This window comes from Homo sapiens, chromosome 10 (assembly GCF_000001405.40).
Source record: "Homo sapiens chromosome 10, GRCh38.p14 Primary Assembly".
Taxonomy (NCBI): Eukaryota; Metazoa; Chordata; class Mammalia; order Primates; family Hominidae; genus Homo; species Homo sapiens.
The window spans coordinates 72,058,818-72,075,962 of record NC_000010.11 but is presented as its reverse complement, the minus strand read 5'-3'; the positions used below and the strand labels follow the sequence as shown (position 1 = coordinate 72,075,962).

At 56.3% G+C, this 17,145-nt stretch overlaps 1 protein-coding gene across 2 annotated transcripts in view, besides 2 other annotated features; it reads left to right on the top strand.

The window, feature by feature from the left end:
- The window catches only part of SPOCK2 (SPARC (osteonectin), cwcv and kazal like domains proteoglycan 2), a 29,999-nt gene extending 13,070 nt beyond the window's left edge, over window positions 1-16,929 (top strand). For both annotated transcript variants that reach the window (NM_014767.2, NM_001244950.2), the window contains 10 exons: window positions 3,053-3,061; window positions 3,415-3,460; window positions 3,705-3,819; window positions 5,537-5,651; window positions 7,662-7,776; window positions 8,231-8,350; window positions 8,843-9,061; window positions 11,723-11,785; window positions 12,801-12,938; window positions 13,058-16,929. In NM_014767.2, the coding sequence (NP_055582.1) occupies window positions 3,053-3,061; window positions 3,415-3,460; window positions 3,705-3,819; window positions 5,537-5,651; window positions 7,662-7,776; window positions 8,231-8,350; window positions 8,843-9,061; window positions 11,723-11,785; window positions 12,801-12,938; window positions 13,058-13,203 (1,086 nt within the window). In that variant the 3' untranslated portion in view covers window positions 13,204-16,929. The remainder of the gene's footprint in view (window positions 1-3,052; window positions 3,062-3,414; window positions 3,461-3,704; window positions 3,820-5,536; window positions 5,652-7,661; window positions 7,777-8,230; window positions 8,351-8,842; window positions 9,062-11,722; window positions 11,786-12,800; window positions 12,939-13,057) is intronic.
- Window positions 5,693-6,194: an enhancer, noted in NCBI's record as "H3K4me1 hESC enhancer chr10:73829527-73830028 (GRCh37/hg19 assembly coordinates)". NCBI's record gives its function as "activates a minimal SCP1, AML or CMV promoter by ChIP-STARR-seq in naive H9 embryonic stem cells {active_cell/tissue: H9 hESC(naive)}" and the evidence as "EXISTENCE:reporter gene assay evidence [ECO:0000049][PMID:30033119]".
- Window positions 6,375-6,882: an enhancer, noted in NCBI's record as "H3K27ac-H3K4me1 hESC enhancer chr10:73828839-73829346 (GRCh37/hg19 assembly coordinates)". NCBI's record gives its function as "activates a minimal SCP1, AML or CMV promoter by ChIP-STARR-seq in primed H9 embryonic stem cells {active_cell/tissue: H9 hESC(primed)}" and the evidence as "EXISTENCE:reporter gene assay evidence [ECO:0000049][PMID:30033119]".
- Window positions 16,930-17,145: the final 216 nt, after the last annotated feature.

The window sequence follows — 17,145 nt, the reverse complement described above, 5'->3', positions numbered from 1 at the left end:
AATCTCTGAGTAGTCCTGGGAGATAGGCACTGAGCCCCTCGAGGTCGGGTGCTTGCCCAAGGTGCACTGGTCGGGGGAAGCCTGGGGATCTGCAGGACCCCAGGGCCCTGCTCTCCTCGTCCCTCTCTGGCTGGCTGCCTTTGCTTTCCTGGGAGTGAGGGTCCTGGAATCCAGATCCACTGGGGCCCCTCCATCCTGCCTGCCCAGCCTGGCCACAGCAGAGGCAAAAAGTCGAGGCTGGAACCGGGGGCAGTGCTTTGCACAGAAGGGGCTCCCTCCCTGCCAGCTGAGTCAGGAAGGGAGTGGGGGATGGTGGAGCAGCTGGGGAAAGCCCCTTTCTTAGAACTCCCACGCCATCCCCACTTTCCCCCAAATTTCTAATCATAAATTCTTGGTCTTGACCTTTGAGAATCCACTGTGTACTGAGTCCCAAAAATTCCACTCACGGCCTGGTTGGAGGTTAAGGCAGCAGGGTTGGGCCAGAAGGTGGGAGTGAGCCGGTGCCAGGGGCCTCAGATGACACCCAGGGGCTGGAGGCACCTTCCCTACTTCCACTCTGGGGCAGGTGGGTTATGGGCACACAGATCTTGTTGGTTGAGGGCAGGTATGGTTGAGGGCTCATACCTCCCTCCCAGAACCCAGCCATTTCCCATCACCTGCACAGCCTTGTCCCCACCCCTGCCCCAGGGGATGATGGGTACAGACGGGAAGACCCCAGCTGATGGAGACCAGTTGCCACTTTTGCCCCAACCCTTGTCATCATGGCCTCAGCAGCTGCACCTCTCTTGGCCTCCCTCCATCTCCTGTGGGGTGGACCCCCAGCAGAGGACCCCTGAACCCTGAGGAGCTCCTGGAGAAGGCTTCGTTGGTTTTAGCAAACGAGGGAAGTGGTGCCTGCAGCCTCCCCAGAGGCTTGCCTGGGGGCTCAGGAGCGCTCAGGTCAAGCCTGAGGGATGGGGTGAGTGCTGGGCCAGGTGCCCCACAGGCTCCCAGGAAGCACCCCTGCAGCCTTCCTCTGTCTGCTCCTGGGCCCAGGGGCTGCGGGACTCTTGGCTGCTAGGACAGGTACGTGTGGGCCAGGTGTGGGCCGAGCAGAGGGATGAGGAAGAGGCTCAATGAGAGACAGAGGAGAGAGGGACACAGGAACACACGGGGAGGCACGTGAAAGCAAGAGGAAGAAGGAGAGAGAGGGAGAGAGCCGCCGTGGGCTCTCACGGGAGCAGTCTGCGGTCCTCCCGCCCTCCCCATCCTTCCCGACTCCTGCTGCCTCCTTCTCTCACTGCGGAAGAGGCAGGAAGGCCAGCCTGAGGGAGAGCCTCGAGTGTGAAACTGGAGGCTGCTCACAGAGTGGGTTTTGTTACCTCGTTTCTGGATAAAAACCATCTGGCACTGGGTGAACAATGTCCTTGTTAGTGTCCTTGTTTTCCTTCTGTCACTACACATGTGTGTGCATATGTCCACCTGTGCATAAATGAGGATGTGCATACACACAAACATGCCTGCACACACATGCTACATAATACAGACCTGTGAGTGTGCATGGGTGCACCTGGGTCTGCATAAATGCACACACACATGCAGAAGCATGCACTCAGGTCTATGCCTGTGCACACCGCATCTTTCTCGGTGGTGATGCCAACTGCTTGCTCGGGTCTGGCCCCTTCGGCCTTTGTCCAGGAGGCCTCACCCTGCCTGCTCTGACGCTTGCCAGCTTCCAGGGGAGGCTTCAGAAGCCTGAAGGCCTTGGATTTCAAAGCCCTTTAGGCACCCTTCTGTGTGCCCACTGCTGCACGCATGTGGGTGCCGTTTGGTGCCATGGCCCCACCGCCCTTTTCCCCCAGACCTGACAGCTCTGCTCACCCCTACACATCTCTGCTCCTTTGGGCTATGGCAGAACTCAGGATGAAGGGGGCAGCTGCGCGTAGCTTCTCATGCCCCTCTCCCCCCAGCTCCCAGAGCCCCTCCTGGAGCCCCACGCAGAGGAAGTGGGCAGCTGGTCCTTGTCACTGCCAGCCTGCAGGCCTGGGAAGCCCCCTCCTTGCCTGCCTGGCAGAGTTTCCACCAGGAGTGCCCTGGGACTGTTAGGTGTTTTTTAGCAACTGTCTCTGCCCCGTAGGGGAAAGGGAGGAAGCCAGATAAGTTGAGTGTTCTTGCCAGGGAGCTGGGTCAGGTGGGAGGCTCTCTGCCTCTGGCCACTCTGCGGTCCACGGGCCTGAGAGGCCCCTGCAGCTGGAGCAGGGTGAGAAGGTCTCCCTTGTGCCTTAGGCCTCAGAGAGTGTGTTGTAGCAAGAAAAGTGGTCTGTGCTGGGCATCGGGAGACCTGGGTTGTGTGACGGGAGGACCTGGGTCAGGTCATCTGTCTCTGGGCTTTCTCCGGCACAAAGGGGGGGCTGGACCAGGTGACCTCGTAGGACCCTTTCTGGGTCCTCTGCCTCTGAGGGTTTGAAGCTGAATCGTGATAACTGGGCAAGCCTCATCACAGGCATGGCCTCCTCCCTCACTCCGTGTATGAGCTGAGCTCTGCAGAGATGTCAGACCTTGAGCAAAAAGCATCCCTTTGCAGACTGGGTGAGGGGGTCTTCCTCCCACCTCACTCACATGGTGGGCAGAGGTCAGGAGTGGGGACTGACAAGGAAGGGGCCTTGGCAGGAGACAGACAGTGCACCGTTTCTCAGGCAGTTTCTGAGACACCCAGGGCATAGGCATGAGAAGCTCTGTTCCTACGCAGCATGGGCACCTCGGACATCTGTCCTGGTGGTGGGGCTGGGGCTGGACTGGGAACGGAGTGGGGGTGCCCCACCCTCTCAAAGCCACGGGCCCCTGCTACTCCTAAGGCCAGTCTTGAGCTCTGTGATGAAGACGTAAGAATACTGGCCTCTTATTGGGGTTCCTGGGGGTCAGAGGAACACAGCCATCGAAGGCCATTGCTCGGCCACATGATGAGGCAGGGGACCCCAGGAACACCAGAGGGCCTCACACTGATATCCCCATCTTTCTCCCTTTCTCTTCCTGCTCCGTTTTCCATGGCCTGCTGCTGTTCCCTGATCTCCAGGAAGTGGAGGTGAGTACTGCCCAGGACCCCACTCTGTGTGGTCTCTGCAGAGCACACCCCCTCCCCTCCTGTGTCCCTCCACACCCTCATTCTGACTTGCCTTCCCTGCCAGCCTCCAGTGTGGCATGGGAGCAATCAGGAGCTCACGGGAGAGGCTGGAAAGGATTCTGGACATGGGTTTATAGGGATAGAGGTGTGGGGGAGGCAGCTGGCAGGGCCTGGGTGGACAGGGGTCAGCCACCAGGATGACGGCCATTGGCACATGACATCGCTGGCCCAGGCCTCTCCTCGACCCCGCAGTTGAACCTCTGGGATATGGATCTTAGCCTTTCCCTTCTCCCTTGTCCCTCTCTGTCCTCTAGGATGACTATATCAAGAGCTGGGAGGACAATCAGCAAGGAGATGAAGGTAACATGACTCTCCCGGCGGGGGAAGGTGACTGACACGTGTGAAGACTTGAGACCAGAGGGCAAGCCCTTAGCCCGCTTGGGGGCTCCTTGAGCAGCCAGGCCCCGGTGGGGATGGGACTCCTGAGCTCAGGAGCTCTGGTTATCAAGGGCTGCTGGAGGGAGAGGCCTCCCAGCTCAGAAGTGGGGCTGGAGGTTCCTGGGTTCTCCCAGGTGACCTGTGTCCTGACTCTGTGCCCCTGCAGCCCTGGATACCACCAAGGACCCCTGCCAGAAGGTGAAGTGCAGCCGCCACAAGGTGTGCATTGCCCAGGGCTACCAGCGGGCCATGTGCATCAGTCGCAAGAAGCTGGAGCACAGGTGAGAGGTTTGGGGAGGTGGGAGCCCTGGAGGGGGTGTGTTCAAAGAGCAAGGGCTCAACTGACCCTCTCCTTATGAATTAGCCATCTACTGCTGTTAAATAAATTGTAAAACTTAGTGCTTAAAACAGCAAATATGTATTATCTGACATCATTTCTGAGGGTTGGAATCCAGAAGTGGTTCTCTTAGATGGTTCTGGCTCTGGGTCTGTCTTGAGGTTATAGTCAAGGTGCTGGCTGGGGCTGTTTCATCTGAAAGCTTGTCGGGCTGGAGGATCCACTTCTAAGCTCACTCTTATGCTCTTGGTGGGAGGCCTCAGTTCCTGATCATGTGGACCCCTCCATAGGGATGCTTGAGTGTCCTCACAACATGGCGGCTGCCTTCACCTAAAGTAAGTCATTTAAGAGATGAGCAAGGAGAAAGCCACACCATATGAGAACAATTACCAAACCCTGTGGGATGCAGGGAAAGTCACATCTCCTTTTTGGGCCTTGATGTAGTATCTCTAAGACAAATAGGTTAGACCATATAATTTGAGGTTCCTTTCAGCTCTGACATGCAGTGACTTCATGAAATATTTAAGGTGGTAGCTTGTGAGAGGTTGTAGCTTGCAGAGGAGAAAGGAGTGAGGGACATTTAAGGAAGCCTTAGCTCCAGCTGGGTGCAGTGGCTCCTGCCTGTAATCCCAGCACTTTGGGAAGCCAAGGCGGGTGGATCACCTAAGGTCAGGAGTTTGAGACCAGCCTGACCAATGTGGTGAAACCCCATCTCTACTGAAAATACAAAATTAGCTGGGCATGGTCGCTTGTGCCTGTAGTCCCAGATACTCGTGTGGCTGAGACAGGAGAATTGCTTGAACCTGGGAGGCGGAGGTTGCAGTGAGCCGAGATCACGCCACTGCACTCCAGCCTGGGTGACAGAGTGAGACTCCGTCTCAAAAAAAAAAAACACAACAAAACAAACAAAAAAAGGAAGTCTTAGCTCCAGCCCAAGGACAAGGCTCTGCCTGGCTCCAAGACCCTGGAAAAGGTTCCAGTTCCCTCCCTTCTTTCCTGAATCATAGAAGATGAAAGATGGGGTTGCAGTCTTAGAAGGCTGCAGGGGCATGGCCGGTAATGTAATGCATGAAGAGTGCTTGGTCACGGGCCACTCTGTGGAGCACAGGTGTGGTGGAAAGCAGGCAGCTGCTTCTTGGCCCTGGTCTATTACAGCTATGTAGGAATGCAGGTCCAGGACTCCCATGCTTCCATTTTTCAAAGACAGGCCAAGAATCCAGGTATTTATGTGAACTCTCCCATTTGGTAAATGTTAGTGCATAAATAACTCAATTAAAAAAAAAAACACTTGGTGGCCAAGTATGGCCCAGAGGTCATCAGTTTGCAACCTCAGATTTGGTCTGACCCCCTAAGTGAAGTGTGACCCCCTTTTACCTCTGGCCTTCAGACCTGGAGTTGCTACCTGAAGGCCCCATGGGACTCAGTGACTCCTAGAAGAAGAGAAGCTGGGGGAATTTATGCCCTGCTCAGTTGGTTCCACCCTTCTGAGCTGGAGGAGGGTCTGGCAGCAGTGTGGGGAGGGTGGGCAGGGGCAGGAAGGGGCTGATCTGCTGAAGATTGCTGCTGCCTTCCTGTTGGAACAGGTCTGCTCAGCCCTCCCTTCCCCTGCTCCTTCCTCATTGTCACTTCCACCCTGGTGTGCCCCCCACCCTCTCCTGTAGGATCAAGCAGCCGACCGTGAAACTCCATGGAAACAAAGACTCCATCTGCAAGCCCTGCCACATGGCCCAGCTTGCCTCTGTCTGCGGCTCAGATGGCCACACTTACAGCTCTGTGGTGAGGAGCCCAGGCCCCAGGTAGGGTGGGGGTGGAGTCACCTGAGGCCACAGGAAGCAGAAAGGATGACCCAGCTGGGGCCTCCGGAGGGGTTTCCAGGACTGAGGTGGGGCCAGATGGCAAGGTCAGTGTGTTCAATGCAGCCAGCCATACTGGGGCCACCTGCAGCCCTGGCTGGAACTACCTGAGAGTTGGAGCCAGACCCTGTCTGTCCCTGACCTCGGACAGGTGCAGGTGGGGAGTGGGGCCTGGAAGAGACACTATGGTCAGGTAACTGCAAGTCAAAGGAACTGAGGGAAGACCTCAGCCAAGTGTGGAGGGCTGTGGAAGAAGGAGCTCTGGCATCCAATTGTTAGTGGGGGAAGAAAGGAGGATTTCCACAGGGAGGCGCCAGTGTTCACCAGTGAGCAGGGGCCTTCTGGGGCAGCAGGAAATAATCCTCCATAAGAAGGTGATGGAAGAAGGAACCGATTGGGAGAATGAATTTGCACCTTATGTGGATTTTTATGAGGATTTCAGGAGACAATATTTGAGAAAGCATTTAAAAAATTTTAGGCTGGTCACGGTGGCTCACGCCTGCAATCCCAGCACTTTGAGAGGCCGAGACGGGTGGATTGCTTGAATCCGGGAGTTTGAGACCAGCCTGGGTAACATAGTGAGACCCTGTCTCTACAAAAAATACAAAAATTAGCTGGGTGCAGTGGCGTGTGCCTGTGATTCCAGCTATCTGAGAGGCTGAGGGGGATGCCAGGAGTTCGAGGCTGTAGTGAGCCATGATTGTACCACTGCACTCCAGCCTGGGTGACAGAGTGAGACCTTGTCTCCAAAAAAAAAAAAAAAAAAGTAACATAGAAATGCAGGTGCTGATAATGAATGTTTTTACTGGCAACAAGGAGTCGGGAATTGCTTGGTTTGGGAGGGCACTGACAGCTGGCTTGGGGTGGGTGCCAGGGCTGAGGGGCCTTCTTGGAGTGAGATGCAGATTTCAGTCACCCGCTGTGGGTGATGATTGACATTGCTGTGGGGATGAGGTCATCCAGGGAGAAGAAAGGGAGGAGAGAGAGAATGAGCAAGAGGCCAGGGCAGAGGCTGCATTTAGGAGGTGAGAGGGGTGCAGGGGAGCTGGCAGAGCTGGCAGAGAGGAGGAGGAGAAGAAGAGGAGCTAGTGTCCCACAACCCAAGGCCAGGGCGAGGTCTGGGCAGGACGCTGCAGTGCGGTCCGGTCCAGGGGTCACGCTGTCCTTTAGGGAGGTGGAGGTCAGCAGGAAGTCTGGCTTTCATCCCGGCTCATGGCCTTGGGCAAGTCACTGGGCCTCTGTGCGCCTTGCTGTTCTCTGCTGAGCAGGAGAAACCCAAGCCTCCCAAGTGAGATAATGTTGTCGAGCGCTGTGATGACCCGCTTCCCATTAGCAGCCGCCCCATGAGAAGAAAGAGATATGACCAGGAGAAAAGGCCCTGGTCAGAACCTGGCTTTAGCAGGCAGCTGTGGCAGAAGCAGTTCTTAGCGAAGGCCGAGGAATTGTTAGATGCTCCATAGGCGGTGCTGTGTCCTATCAGGAGAACTGAGAAAAGTCCACTGGGGTGACTGGGGGGAGATCATTGAGGGAAGGGCTGATGGCTGATTACAGAGGGACCAAGGAACAGGCCATGAGAGCCAGGGGGGCAACAGACAGCTAACACAGGGGAAGGGCGACAGGGGCAGGGGAGGGGTGACAGGGGCAGGGGAGGGGAGACAGGTGTCCTGGGAGGGACAAATCCTTAGAGAGGGCCGAGCAGGCTCATGGGAGCCTGCATGGCTAGGACCAGCTCTGAGCCCTGCTTCCCGGGCCCTGCTTCTCTCCACCGTGCACCTCAGTCTGCAGAGGAACCAAGAGGACCCTTCAGGCTGTTCATGGGCACTCCATGGGGGGAGGCAGATGTGGCTGCCATGAGAGGCTTGAGGGTGTCCCCAGCTGTGGGGACCCCTGGGGTAAGCCCTCAGTCCCCTGTTCCACCTTTCCCCATGTGCAGTGTAAGCTGGAGCAACAGGCGTGCCTGAGCAGCAAGCAGCTGGCGGTGCGATGCGAGGGCCCCTGCCCCTGCCCCACGGAGCAGGCTGCCACCTCCACCGCCGATGGCAAACCAGGTGAGGACAGTGCTGGGCCACCAGGCTAGGGGTGCTGAAGGGCCACCTGGCACCTCCTTCAGGGCTCTAGGGTGGTAGAAGAGGTGTGCAGAGCAAGAGGGAAGTGGCAAAAATGCAGAAAGCTTGAGGGAGCTGTGAGGTCAGAGGCCCAGATTAACACAGAGCAGGAGGCGTGGGCTCAGCCCTCGTTTCTCCCCTGGGTGCCTGGAAGGTGGGCAGAGGGAGGGACTCAGCCACAAGGAACCTGGGCTGTGTGTTTTTCATGCCAGGAAGGAGTGGGTGGTGGGAAATGGGAGAGGACTCGAGAGGAAGCCCCCGATTTCCACCTTCCCTTCTGCTGCTGCCTCCCGGACCCCTGCCCAGCCTCCTGGCCTGTAGGGCAGGATCCCAGACTGAGATCGAGCCTGCTGCTCCACTGCACATTCGCCCTCCATGCCTTCTCTCTGTTCTGCAGAGACTTGCACCGGTCAGGACCTGGCTGACCTGGGAGATCGGCTGCGGGACTGGTTCCAGCTCCTTCATGAGAACTCCAAGCAGAATGGCTCAGCCAGCAGTGTAGCCGGCCCGGCCAGCGGTAGGAAGCTTGCTGCTCTGCCTGGAGGAGGGAGGGAAATAGGGAAGGGGCTGAGGACACAGGTGTATGCTGGGCCAGTCTGCCCTTGTTCCTTCCTGCCAGACTCTGGGCCCTACAATCTGGGCCCCAAAAGAACCTTCACCCCAAAGAAGTCGGCTTCCACCAGAGCAGGAGGGATACCAGTTAGCTAGTAGGAAGAACTTAACATGGGTGGAGGGAGCTTAAACCCTGACATGGGTAGCCCAGGGAAAGCAGGAATTCTTTTCCCTGCAGGGCTTTCAGAACGGGTTTTGAATGGTTCAGGCATAGTCCTATGTGGAGGTGGAAGGAAGGACCTTTCGCCGTTCTCGAGTTTCTCAATCCCATGGTTAGATTCCAAGCTGCCCAGACCCAGAATAGAGGGCTGGGGCTGATGGCGAGGCGGAGAGATGGAGGGCTGGAGAAACGGCTGAATAGCCAGATGAAGCGTGCCTGAACCTGATCTTTTCCCAGGGCTGGACAAGAGCCTGGGGGCCAGCTGCAAGGACTCCATTGGCTGGATGTTCTCCAAGCTGGACACCAGTGCTGACCTCTTCCTGGACCAGACGGAGCTGGCCGCCATCAACCTGGACAAGTACGAGGTCTGCATCCGTCCCTTCTTCAACTCCTGTGACACCTACAAGGATGGCCGGGTCTCTACTGCTGAGTGGTGCTTCTGCTTCTGGAGGGAGAGTGAGTGCAGCCCCCCTCCCAGGCCCCTGCCTCACCCGTGTGGGCTCTACCCGAAGTTCCAGGCTCTCTTGGGAAGTCAGAGTGGCTCTTTCTTGGCTACGTCCCCAGGCCCAGCACTTTCCCAGCTTGCCCACTTCCTGCACTCCCTTAGGGCTTCATCCCTTAAGGCCCAGGGAAGCCAACACTTTCAGCTCCCTTCCTTGGCAGGCTCCCAGGCGGATCCAGATTTTGTGGGTCCTGAAGCTTATATACTTTTGGAGGTCTTCTTTAAGAAAGAGTTAAAAAAGAAATCCCAGCACTTTGGGAGGCCAAGGTGGGAGGATCATGTGACCCAGGAGTTGGCGACCAGCCCAAACAATACAGGGAGACCTCCTCTCTGTGAAAAAAAAAAAAAAAAATAGCCAGGCATGGTGGCATGCATTTGTGGTCCCTGCCACTTGAGAGGCTGAGGTGGGAGGATTGCTTGAGCCTAGGAAGTCAAGGCTACAGTGAGCTGAGATTGTGCCAGCGCACTCCAGCCTGAGCAACAGAGCAAGAACCTATTAAAAAAAAAAAAGAAGGAAAGAAAGAATATGAAAAATAACGAATGTAAACTTTCTGGGGCCCCTCAGAGGGCTTGGGAAGGGGCTGTACAAGTGAGGGTCTTAGAGGTGAAGATGCATTTGCTTCTCGGTGATTCTTCTTTTAGGCACATCTTAAATTTTGTGCCACCAATAAGTGATTACATACGTTGTCATCAGCCTTAGAGATGTGATGAAATTTCTCAGCTGAATATACCTGAAACCAGAGCTTTCAAACCAGAGTCATCTCGGAAAATGGAGGTCCCCAGGCTCACCTGACCTGTGTGGCTGGAGCTGGGGAAGCCCTGGTGTTCCTCACTGGATGCTTCTCCCCATCTTGGTGGGGGATCGGCAGTCAGGGCCCAAAGCTTCAGCCCGGGCCCCACCATACGCTAGTCAGGGACCCCCGGCAAGTGACCACATCTTTCTGAGTTCTGCTTCTTCATCTGCGTCAGGAAATAACAATACCTATCTTGGAGCCTGTTGTGAGGATGAGCCAAGAAAATCTGTGCAGAGCACCGTGTAATTCACAAATCCCTCTGCAAATGTGTGGTATTGTGATCTGTTTCACCACTCTGACTGCCCAGCCCTCCTGCGACCAGCATCACTCCAGCACTTTGACTTTCTGGGCCTTTGAAGGCCACTCCATCCATTCTGTACTTTCTTGGGCAGGAGGCCGGGAACTGTCCTCATTTTACAACCAGGCAGGCTTCCAGCTTGGAGAGGTGGGGACTTCCCAAGGTCGCAGACAAGTTAGAGGCTGGCTGCCGGTTACAGTCATGCGTCACTTGACGAGGGGGATACATTCTGAGAAATGCATCATTAGGTGATTTTGTCACTGTGCAAGCATCATAGGAGTACTTACACAGACCTTGGTGGTGCGGCCTCCTGTGCACCTGGCCCATTGCTCCCAGGTTACAACCTGTGCAGCATGTTATGTGCTGAATACTGCAGGCAGTTGTAACACAATGGTAAGCATTTGTGCATCTAAACATAGCTAAACATAGACCGGGCGCGGTGGCTCACGCCTGTAATCCCAGCACTTTGGGAGGCCGAGGTGGGTGGATCACCTGAGGTCAGGAGTTTGAGACCAGCCTGACCAACATGGTGAAATCCTGTCTCTACTAAAAATACAAAAATTAGCCAGGCATGGTGGCAGGTGCCTGTAATCTCAGCTACTTGGGAGGCTGAGGCAGGAGAATCACTTGAACCCGGGAGGCAGAGGTTGCAGTGAGCCAAGATCGTGCCGTTGCACTCCAGCCTGGGCGACGAGAGCAAAAATTTATTTTATTTATCTCAAAAAATAAAATAAGGCTGGGCGCGGTGGCTCATGCCTGTAATCCCAGCACTTTGCGGGGCTGAGGCGGGCAGATTATGAGGTCAGGAGATCAAGACCATCCTGGCTAACAGGGTGAAACCCCGTCTCTACTAAAAATACAAAAAATTAGCCAGGCGTGGTGGCGGGCGCCTGTAGTCCCAGCTGCTCGGGAGGCTGAGGCAGGAGAATGGCGTGAACCCGGGAGGCAGAGCTTGCAGTGAGCCGAGATCGCGCCAATGCACTCCAGCCTGGGTGACAGAGCAAGACTCCGTCTCAAAAAAATAAATAAATAAAAAATAAAAAAATAAACATAACTAAGCATAGAAAAGGTACAGTAAAAATAGTGTTGTAATCTTATGGGGCCACCGTCCATTGTTGACTGAAGTGTTGTTGTGTAGCGCGTGGCTGTATTTTCAGGCCTGGGAGTTCTCTCTAACATTCCCTCTAGCATTACGTTCCCCTGGGCTCTCTCATACTTGGGTGTCTGTGTGTTCACCCCACCTCCTCTTCTGAATCCTGTTACTCCTCTCATGGGTCCCTAGGACTTCTTGGGGACCTCAGGTCATCCACAGCTGTGGAATGAGCTCCCCTAAATAGAGAGTGAGCGTTTTCGTGCCATAGAACCCTTGTACTTCCCACCCCTGCTGTGGGGTGACCCCGTGTCAGAAACGGGGTGTTTTCATCTTGCAGAGCCCCTGCCTGGGTCTCTAAGCCTTGAAGGGCTCAGTGCATCCCCCCAGCACCAGGGGACAGTCCCATCAGAGGCTGCTTCTCTCCCCACAGAGCCCCCCTGCCTGGCAGAGCTGGAGCGCATCCAGATCCAGGAGGCCGCCAAGAAGAAGCCAGGTGAGGGGCCAGACCAGGCTCTCAGAGGAGGAGGTGGGGACGGCTTCCTGGGTTTGTCTGAGACCCAGGGCCTCCAGCCTTGGGCCTCATGGCAGACATGGAGCCCAGAGGAGGCCCTGGCCTAGGAAGACAGAAGAGGGTTGCCCCCTTCCTGTGTCTATCCTTGTGGTGGGGCAGGGACTCCCAATCTGCCCCGGGAAAAGTGTGTTTTAGGCACTAATTTTATGCCCATCCATGCTGGAGCTAGAGTTTGGGATACAGAAGGATCCTGGAACCCTCCACTGAGTTCAGTTTCCTTCAGCAAGGGTGTGACTAATGTTTTAGTGAGGCCACTCCCTGAGTGACACTCACTCACATGCTCCATAAACACCTGGGGGCCGGCCCCAGAGATACAACAGCAATAGACCCAGCCCAACTCTGAGCGGATGGCAAGAAGGATGCACTCCCTGGCCTCATAACCCTTTAGCTCGGGCCAGTCCGGAAACACACAACACACAAATGGACACACTAAAAAGACAGAACTAGCAGTGTGACCTGTACACAGGCGCCTGGGAGCTTCAGCTGGGGAGCCTGCAGGAAAGCAAGTGGGCCCCGGAGGCAGGTCGGACTCAGAGTGGCTGGGAGGAGAAGGCTGGGCCTTCCTAGCAGGGGACAGCCAGGCCGGCGGAACTGTGGGAGGATGGAGAGTGTCAAACCTGGTGAAGTCAGACTGGCTGTCCTAGAAGACTTGGGCCATGGAGTCAGGGAAACTGATGGGGCGGCTGGGAGCTAGCACAGGGGCCTGAGCAGTGGTTCAAGGAAGCGGGTTTCCTCATCTCCAGCGAGTAGAGCCGAAAGAATTGCTGGCTGGTGTCCAGCTCTCAGCATCTGGGCCTGTTGGGGGGTCAGCACCCGGTCTGGCTGGGCTCTGGGGGTGTATAGACTTCTGCTCATGCATGAGGACCTGAGGTCACCTCTCTGAGGGGCCCACAGCCTGGGCCCCTGCTCTGACCCTGCCTGGCACTGTCTCATTCAGGCATCTTCATCCCGAGCTGCGACGAGGATGGCTACTACCGGAAGATGCAGTGTGACCAGAGCAGCGGTGACTGCTGGTGTGTGGACCAGCTGGGCCTGGAGCTGACTGGCACGCGCACGCATGGGAGCCCCGACTGCGGTACGGGCTGGGCAGCTCAGGGCCTGCTGGGGGCCCAGGCCTGGGGGCCCTTGTCGTGGGATGCTGGGGGGTGCGTGCCAGAAGCTCCCTCACCCCCTGTTGGCTTGATCCCCTCACAGATGACATCGTGGGCTTCTCGGGGGACTTTGGAAGCGGTGTCGGCTGGGAGGATGAGGAGGAGAAGGAGACGGAGGAAGCAGGCGAGGAGGCCGAGGAGGAGGAGGGCGAGGCAGGCGAGGCTGACGACGGGGGCTACATCTGGTAGACGCCCTCAGGAGCCGGCTGCCGGGGGGGACTCAACAGCAGAGCTCTGAGCAGCAGCAGGCAACTTCGAGAACGGATCCAGAAATGCAGTCAGAAGGACCCTGCTCCACCTGGGGGGACTGGGAGTGTGAGTGTGCATGGCATGTGTGTGGCACAGATGGCTGGGACGGGTGACAGTGTGAGTGCATGTGTGCATGCATGTGTGTATGTGTGTGTGTGTGTGGCATGCGCTGACAAATGTGTCCTTGATCCACACTGCTCCTGGCAGAGTGAGTCACCCAAAGGCCCCTTCGGCCTCCTTGTAGCTGTTTTCTTTCCTTTTGTTGTTGGTTTTAAAATACATTCACACACAAATACAAATTGACAGGTCAAAATCCATGAAATGAGATCCCCCAGCCGTGTCCTCCAGCCCAGCCCTGACCCCTTGGTTTCTACCCTGGCTCCCCTTGGTTTCTACCCTGGCTCAACCGACCCCTGTCTGCCCTTCTCCCTCTTGCTTCTGAGGTCAAGCTCTGGCCTGCGAGCCTGTCCCCATTGCAAAGGGGAGGGAGGGGCAGGGAGCTGTCTACCAGCTGAGGTCCTCCCAAAACTGGGCCGATGTGGTGTGACATCCCCACCAGCCTCAGATGAGACGGGCCAGGACGCCCAGCCACAGCAAGCCCTGTCCCTTTGCCGGATCCCCAAACACTAGAGAAGCTCTCCTAACCCAAGGCGGAGAATGAAGGTGGTGGCGGCAGAGGAGGAGGGCAGCAGCTGAGAGGCCAGGGACAGGGTGCCTCGCCAAGCTGTCTGAGGTCTGTCCCAGGTGGCCCAGGTGGTGCAGGTAGAACAGGGTGAGGAGAGGGGGTCGGCTCAGCAGGAGGAGGCTGTGGCTGCAGAGCCTGGGGGAGCTTTTAGGTGTTGAGATGGGGCAGCTCTGAATCCTAGACCCTGGAATAGCCTGTCCCTTTTCTCTGGGTCTCGTGGTGGAGCCATGATCTGGGCTGCTCTCTTGGGGACACTGGGTGGTGGTTACACAGTTGACCTCTGCCTGGCTCCCCCTTGGTGCAACTCCTGCCTCCATCCCCCTTGCTGGGGTCCCCTCATCCACTTGAGGGCGCCTGAGGGCCAGGAGCAGCAGGCAAGGAGCCTGGGTCTAGGCTAAGGGGGTGTGTGCCCACCTCCTCCCTGACCCTTAACACTCCTGTCCTGCCCAGACCAACAGAGAGAGCTGTCCCTGAGACCCCGGAGAGAAGCAGCTGCCGAAAGCTGCAGCCTTTCCGCACTCTGAGACCATGATCTTCCTCCTGCCAGGGGAGAGCCACCCACAGGCCATGTCCAGCCCCACTTCCCTCAGCCCCCAGGGCTTCCTTCTGGCCCCTCTGAGGATTCCCTAGGGCTGCCCCGCAGAGGGGCTTCCCCAAGCTCTGTTTTGAAGCCTGCAATGTGGAAAAGTGAGAAGTCAGAGGGAACAGGACAGGTGCAGCCGGGCTCTGAGGCCACACCTCACACCTCGCTGTTCCCCAACATCCCCTGAGCAGTGTGAGCTCATCTCACCAGATGAGAAGAGGCCCTGTGCATTTCTTTTGTTTGTTTGTTGCTGTTTTCCCCCACCCATCCAGTTCTCCTCAGCAAAGCAAATTCCTTAACACCTTTGGTGGAGAATTTCTTACCCAGACTTGGGGCTGTGATGCCCTTCAGTGCGTGGTGAGTGCAGCGTGTGTGCGTGTGCCTGTGTGTGAACCTGGGGGCCATCCTGGTGGCCTGGGAGCGTGAGGAGAGGCCCCCTGTGTGCTGGGTGAGTGGTGGGTGTGGGGTCAATGCAGTGAGGCTCTCTGGGTGAGGCTCCCAACCTGGCAGTCCCCAGCCTCCCAGCATCTGTGAGCGTCTGTTGGACTTTACAGAAGAGCCTCATCCTGTCTGCCCCTCACTCTGCCCTGGAATCAACATCTTCCGAGTCCTTCTTGGGGGAAATAGCAGAGCCCCACTTAACTCCATAAACTGCTTCCCATTCCGCAGCCCAGTTCTGATTGTTGAGGTGTCGCGTCGTTCCAGGTCCCCCAGTCCCCTCTTTCTCCTGTCCTCTCTCTGTCCTTCACCTCCCCACTCCAGCCCCGGCTCAGTTCAGGGAAATGCTGTTCCACATCAGCCCTCTGCTCTCTGAGGCAGCCGCGCCTCTGACTCGGAGCTACTTGAAACTTCTGCTCTTGCTAGGATTGGAGTCTACCTATCTCTTCCATTTGTCCCAGCTGGAGTTCTGGAACTTTCCTCCTCGGGGTGGGGGTGGGGGTTGTTAAGGATGCTGGGGGGCCTGGGGAAGGAAGGAGTTCAGAGGAAGGGTGTCCCCTGTCCTCTTGATGTCACCCTCCGCTCCTGGGACACGTGCTCTCTCTGTCTCTGGGTCTTCTGGCTGTGCACGTTTGTGTGTCCTTGTAAATATGTTTTAGGAAGAAAGCAAAAGGGACTGAACTAGCCTCTGGTAGGATTGCAGGGGTCCAGCCTTGCCTGTTTCCGAAGCCCCCACACTGCCTTTCGCCCTACTGAGACTGGTCCCCTCAAAAGGTAGACAAAACAGCAGCTCCCTGTGGAGCTGAAGGGCGGCCTCAAAGTGGCTTTTTGTTAGACAAGGTTAAGGTTTCCTCATGAGCAAGGTTGCAGATCGGTCCTTCCTCAGCTCCTTGATTTGTGACCTTGACCAAGGGGCCTGCCACCCAGCCCCTCCAGTGCCCTCTCCTCGATGCCTCGCTCCTTCCTGCCCCCACTCCCCTGGCTTAGGCAGGTAGGGGAATTAGGGCCATGCTGGAAGAAGCTTAACCATGTGTTCAAAGAACGGTTTCTTGCTTGCTTGGTCCTGGAACTCCCCTTGGCTGCCCCAGGCCTCCTTGGCCCATGGGTGCTGGGGGAGGTGGATGTCAGATCTGGTAGGTTGCAGCAGAGAAAATAAATGTGCCTTGAGAGACCACTCAGAGAGGGTCCAAGGGTGATGGAGAAGGAAGCATGGCCTGGGAGCTTGGAAGGGAGGGGTGGTGGGTGGCGGCATCTTGACTGCCCCCTGTTGTCCCACACGTGGGGGGTGGTCACCCCCCTTCACTCCAGCCCGCCTGCCTTCAGCCTTCCATGAGCTTCACCTGCTTCCAACTTCACTTTGGAGGGGGTGGGGTCCGTTGGCATCAACACGGGGACCCTCTGCTTCACCAAAGCCCGAGCCCTCAGCCCCTGGGGAGAACAAATGGCTGAGCTTTGATACCTGGGGTCGTCGAGAGGCTGCGGGCTGGCGGCAGTCCCAGGGGAGAGACACCACAGAAGGAGACCCAGACATCCCGAGGAAGTTCCCAGCAGAGCAAACTGCTTTCCAGCCTGAAGCCTGCTTAAACTGTGTGATGTGCAATAACTGAGCTTAGAGTTAGGAATTGTGTTCAAGTGCTTGGATTTCCGTCTGTAGATTTAACTGCTGAAATTGTATCTCTCAGTAATTTTAGATGTCTTTTAAAAAATTGAAAAACAAAGTGTTAGACTGTGTGCGTGTGCGTTGATGGGCACTCAAGAGTCCCGTGAGTCATCCAGCCCTGCCTTTCCCCTGCGCCCCCATCCTCTCACGTCCCGCCCCGCCTCCACTTGGGGACCCTGCCTCGTGTCGTCTTTATCTGCCTATTACTCAGCCTAAGGAAACAAGTACACTCCACACATGCATAAAGGAAATCAAATGTTATTTTTAAGAAAATGGAAAATAAAAACTTTATAAACACCATCTGCTGGCAATACTCTGATTATTCTTACCCTTGGTATTATTTTTCACGAAAACAGCATTTATGGCTGAGCGTGGTGGCTCACACCTATAATCCCAGCACTTTGGGAGGCTGAGGCAGGACAATCCCTTGAGCCCAGGAGTTTGAGACTGGCCTAGGCAACATAGTGAGACCCCGTATCTATCAAAACAAAAAAATTAGGCTGAGAAGGAGGGGCA